General features: G+C 40.9%; 1 pseudogene; it reads right to left on the reverse strand.

Annotated features, from left to right (window-relative positions):
- On the reverse strand, window positions 448-893 carry RPS26P58 (ribosomal protein S26 pseudogene 58; annotated as a pseudogene).

The following is a 6,323-nucleotide window of genomic DNA, read 5'->3' on the forward strand; positions in this document are numbered from 1 at the left end:
AGTTGAACCATCTTAAGTCAAGGACTTATGTAGATGATCTTGCACTGGAATCCTTATGTCAGCACCTATCTTTAGGAGAACGTGATAGAGTTTGGATGTGTGTCCCCACCCAAATCTTGTGTTGAAATGTAATCCCCAATGTTGGAGGTGGGGCCTGGTGGGAGGTGTTTGGGTCATGGTTGTAGATCCCTCATGGCTTGGTGCTGTCTTCACCAGAGTGAATGAGTTCTCACCAGATCTGGTCATTTAAAAGTGGGTGACACCTCCCCCCACCTTCCCCCCCACCTTGCCACCTTTCTCACCATGTGACATGCCTGCTACCCCTTTGCCTTCTGCCATGATTGTGAGCTTCCTGAGGCTGCACCAGAAGCCAAGCATATACCAGCACCATGCTTCCTATATGGCCTGCAGAACTGTGAGCCAATTAAACCTCTTTTTTTTTTTTTTTTAAGTACAATTTCCATTTTATTTTTCTCCAGAGAATAGCCTGTCTTCAGTCTTTAAGAACTCAGCTCCTTACATGGGCTTTGGTGGGGGACGTGGGGCAGCACCCGCAGGTCTAAATCGGGGTGGGGGTGTTCGGTCCTTGCGGGCTTCACGAGATCGATTCCTGACTACTTTGCTGTGAATTGCACAACTCACACAGTAATGTAGCTTCACATACAGCTTGGGAAGCACATAGGCATCGAAGACGCTCGCTTCAGAAATGTCCCTGATTGCTGCGGCCTCCACTATGTTTCGAATGACGAATTTCTTAATGGCCTTGTCCTTGGGCACGCATCGGGCACATTTAGTGCAGCGAATAGGCTGCACGTGGCCGCGGCCCTTTTTGGCACGACCATTGTTCCTTCTTTTCTTTGTCATCTTGGAGGCACAGACCGGAGAGAGCAAACCTCTTTTCTTTATAGCAGGTATTTCTTTATAGCAATGCAAGAACAGCCTAACACAGAACTCAAACTAAAACATCCTCCAACCTTCATCCATTTTATTAAAATTTGCCTTTTCCCTTATATGACAGGTATAATTTTCCTCTAAACTGTTCACTTTAAAAGTCGACACAAAGTTGGGGTAGCTCCTCCATCCAAACAATGAGTTTGATATAAGGCATATCTAAGTTTTAAAAAATCCTTGTGATTCTAAGGAACTTTTCCAATTCTTTGGTAGATTGGAATTTATTGTGTTAGATATTTGTCCTGTTATCTGAATGATAACTGGGTCTCAGCATTGTATTATCTGTTACGTTATATGAGTAGGGCCATATTTTAAATATTTTAGGGGAATTTAGAACTCAAACTAATTCTCTTGCGACCCCTTTTATAAAGCAAGCCTACATTTATGAATTCTTTTTTTTTCCTTCAAATGAACTATATCCACCTTGATATTTCATTGTTAAGTCTTAAATTTGAGTTGAGCACTGTGGCTTGTGTCTGTAACCCCAGCTATTCAGGAGGCTGGGGCAGGAGGATCGCTTGAGGCCAGAAGTTCAAGACCAGCCTAAGGAACATAGTGAGACCACATCTCTAAAAAAAAAATAGTAATAAAATCTAAGTGTAATTTTGTATCTGTGAACCAACCTCTTCATAGCCCTACTCCCCTCTCTTCCTAGCCTCTAATAACCATAGTTCTGCTCTCTATTTCTATGAACTCAACTTAAACATTTTTAAAATTGTTTTTCATGTTAGAGATGGGGTCTCGCTGTGTTGCCTGGGAGGGAGCGCAGTGTTTATTCACAAGCGTGATCATAGTGTACTGTAGCCTCAAACTCCGGGGTTCAGATGGTCTTCCTGCCTCAGTCTCCTGAGTAGCTGGGATTACAGGCAGGTACCACCACACCAGGCTCAGATTTTTAAGCTTCAGTATATGAGTGAGAACATGCAGTATTTATCTTTCTGTTTCTGACATTTCATTTAACCTAATTTCTTCCAGGCTCATCCATTGCTACAATGACAGGGTTTCATTCTTTTTTTACAGCTGAATAATATTCTATTATGTATATATGACAAATTTTCTTTAGGCATTCATTCACTGCTGAGCATTTAGGTTGTTCCCACACCTTGACTATTGTGAATAGTGCCGCAGTGAACCTGGGGGTGCAGATAGCTCTTTGATATACTTATTTCCTTTCCTTTGAATACTCTTAAAATGCTATTTCTCATTTGCCACTTAGCCTATTGCCAAGGACCTAATACAAAACCATCTGAAATACAATATTGATGGTATACAGCCTACAGGAAATCATTTTTGTTCCCAAACGTCAGGACTACCGTAATATTTCTTTTTCTGTCATTAATTTGTTGAGGAATGCTGGATAAATCACTCTGACTCTGCAGTCTTCAGTTTTTCCAGGGTATTGAACAATAAATTAATATTTGAAATTGTATAAAGCAAAGAAGGAATAGGACTATATCCATTTCTTAGAAGCAAAATGTTGGGGCTTATTTCAGTATAAAAGTAATATACACATAGAGAAAAGTAGAAAAATTCAGAAAAGCAAAAGAAAGAGCAGAAAAGCACCTATATTTCTATTGCATAAAAAACTTAGCATTACATTTTAGTTAATTTTCTTCCAATCTTCATGATGTGTACAGGTTTTGCGTTTTCATTATCATCATGACATAAAAAGGTTCTATGTTATTATCTCTTGTAGGATGTCATCATCTTAATAGAAGTATGAAATGCCAATGAGTAGATGTGCCATAGTTTACCTATTGAGTTTCCTATGTTCAGACACTTTCCCCTATTGGGTGCTATTATAAGTCATACTCAGCACAATTTAGTTTGTGTTATAGGATGTTTCCCCATTGTTATTTCCCAACAATTGTTAATCCTCATTCATGATGGACAGATCCCACACTCCATAGATAATGGGTTTCTATTACTGTCTTCCACACATATTGTAGTACTGGGTGCTTGCTCTGTGCCAGGCACCTTGCTAGGGCCAAAGATGAATAAGACGCAGCACCTATCTGTAAGGAGCTTGCAATCTGGAAAGGGAACACAGATCTGTAATCCACAAACAACAACAACCCAGTAAGAGAGCTCTACACAGGGTATTATGAAAGCACAGAGGAGCAAGTCTCTGACTCTAGCTAAGGAAGGGTTTTAGAAGCATAGGAGTAAGAATTTTCCAGACAGATGGCACAGATAAAAGAAATAAGAAAATAAATCAGGATAATGTGACAGCAGTGGGAGGAAGGTGACCACAGTAGACAGGGTGGCTAGGGAAGGCCCCTCTGGAGAGGTGACATTTGAACTAAGACCTGAATGACAAAAAGTTTCCAGCCATTTAAGGACCTAGTGCAAAAATGTTTATGGCAGAGGAACAGCAAGCACCAAGGAGACTTGAGTAATCTTGGCTCGTTCAAGAAAGACCATGGTGAGAATGACATAAGTGAAAGGGCCAGTAGTAGAGCTGACCTCAGGGAATGGGAGAAGAAGGTAAAGTGGGCCGAATGAAAGGATTGCAGGACAGGTTTGAGAGCTCAGCTGATGTTAAAGCACATCAATCAGGAATGGCACCAATTTATAATGTATAAGCTTCCCTGACTTTTTCAACTGCTTAGTAGTCGTAGGAATAGAGAAGCCAAATAGTTGGATTGATATATGGCTGGATATATCAAGTGTACCAAAGCAGAACAAGCGTAAACAAAAAGACAATGGGGCAAATAAGTGGAACATACTGGGGTGGAGAGTGTAGTGTTGTATACTCTAAGTTCTAGGCTGAATAAGAAAAGAGTAGAAGGTATTGCAGCACTATTCACAATAGCAAAGACTTGGGCCAAACCCAAATGCCCACCAATGATAGACTAGATAAAGAAAATGTGGCACATATACACCATGGAATACTATGCAGCCATAAAAAAGAATGAGCTCATGTCCTTTGCAGGGACATGGATGAAGCTGGAAGCCATCATTCTCAGCAAACTAACACAGGAACAGAAAACCAAACACTGCATATTCTCACTCATAAGTGGCAGTTAAACAATGAGAACATGTTGTTGCAGGATTGTTAAGGAATCAGAGAGACTGATGGGGTTCAGGAGGATATTTATTATTTAGGTGCACCAGCCCAGTCGGATTAACATCCAAAGGACTGAGCCCTGAACAAAGAGTTAAGTTACGTTTTAAGCATTTTGTGGGGCAGGGGGAGATCTGTGCAGGGGGAAGCATATTACAGAAGTGAGAAACAAAGACAGTTATTCAATTAATTGAGATATTCATTACATCATTTCTTACTTTTCAAGGAAAAACATGTTTTGCGACTTGAGTTTATCTGTCTAGTGACCTTGCAGCTGCACAGCTAGAGAAACAGGGTCTTCACAATGCCTAGGAAAGGAGGAGAGATAAGGCTCACTAGCCACAGAAAAACAGGCAGTTAATTTTTAAAGGACTCCAGCTCTTTCTCTTTCTCAGGGGGAATTGGGTTTTCTTACATATACTGAGTTTCTGCTTACACGTTCTTTAATTTATTTTAATTCCTGTTCCAACATGGACACAGAGAGGGGAGCTTCACACACCGGGGCCTGTCAGGGGGTTGGGGGCAAAGGGAGGGAGAGCATTAGGAGAAATACCTAATGCATGTGGGGCTTAAAACCTAGATGACGGGTTGATGGGTGCAGCAAACCACCATGGCACATGTATACCTATGTAACAAACCTGCACGTTCTGCGCATATATCCCGGAACTTAAAGTAAAAGAAAAAAGAAAAGAAAAGAGTAGAAGGTGAAAAGATTGGGAAGAGGTGGGTGTGACAAACAGGCAGAAAACTGAGGACTGTGGGATTGGAGGCCTTAGAGCAGATGTCATAGAAATAAGGTAGAGGGAAAGCTATAAGGACAAAGGGTCGGACCCTGAAAGTAGAATACTGGGGTTTAAAACAGCAGAGTTCCAACAGCTTTGGGTGATGTCAAGGTCCATGGCTAAGGTGAAATTGAGGTGATGGTTAAAGAGGAAATCAGAGGCTGGGCGCGGTGGCTCACGCCTGTAATCCCAACACTTTGGGAGGCCGAGGAGGGTGGATCTCCTGAGGTCAGGAGTTTAGGATCAGCTGGCCAACATGGTGAAACCCCGTCTCTACTAAAAATACAAAAATTAGCCGGGTGTGGTGGTGGGTGCCTGTAATCCCAGGTACTCGGGAGGCTGAGGCAGTAGAATCGCTTGAACCTGGGAGACAGAGGTTGCAATGAGCCGAGATAGCGCCACTGCACTTCAGCCTGGGCAATAGAGTGAGATTCTGTCTCAAAAAAAAAAGAAAGAAATCAGGGACGGGTGGTGGAAGATAGGGTGTTAAGACTTCATCAAATTAAAACCTTTTGTGCTTCAAAGGACAACATCAACAAAGCAAAAAGACAACTCACAGAATGAGAGAAAATATTTGCAAATTATTTATCTGATAAGGGATGTGTATCCAGAATATATAAACAACCCTTACAACTCAATAATAAAAAGATAAACAACCCAATTAAAAATGGGCAAAGAATCTGCATAGACATTTCTTAACAGGAGATGAACAAAGGGACAATACACGCATGAAAAGATGCTCAGCATGCTAGCCATCAAGGAAACGCAAATAAAAGCCACAGTGAGATACAACTTCACACCCACTAGAATGGCTATAATCAAAAGATAGATAAACAATTGTTGGTGAGGATGTGGGGAAATTGGAACCCTCCTTCCCCGGTGAGGGGAATGTAAAATGGCATAGCTGCTTTGGAAAATAGTTTGGCAGTTCCTCAAGATGTTAAACAGAGGTACTATATGACCCAGGAATTCACTCCTAGCAATATACTCAAGAAAAATGAAAGCATATGTTAACACAAAAAGTTGGACACAGATGTTCATAGAAACATTACTTAATAGTCAAAAGAAGCAACAACCCAAATGTCCATCAACTGGTGAATGAATAAGCAAAATACGGTATACCCATACACTGCTAGAACATGAATGTCTCTTGAAAACATCATGCTAAGTGAATTGAGAGTCACAAAAGTCTACATATTATATATGATTCTATTTCTATGAAATGTCCAGAATATGCAAATCTATAGAGTCAGAAATCAGATTAGTGGTTGTTGAAAGTAGATTAGGAATTGGGGGTAATGGGGAGTGGCCAGCATTTTCTTAATGAAATAGGATGCAATAGAATAGAGTAGAAAAAAAAATCTTGACATCTCAGCTTAGGTGCCATTTCCTCAGGAAGTCTTCCCTAACTAGGTCAAATTCCCCTGTTGGTACCTCTCCTTTGTAGCACTAAGCACAGTTGAAATTTTGAGTTTATTTGCATGACAGTTGGATGAATGTTAGGATCCCAGAATGTGAATATA

The sequence above is a fragment of the Homo sapiens genome, chromosome X (assembly GCF_000001405.40).
Source record: "Homo sapiens chromosome X, GRCh38.p14 Primary Assembly".
NCBI classification, from domain to species: domain Eukaryota; kingdom Metazoa; phylum Chordata; class Mammalia; order Primates; family Hominidae; genus Homo; species Homo sapiens.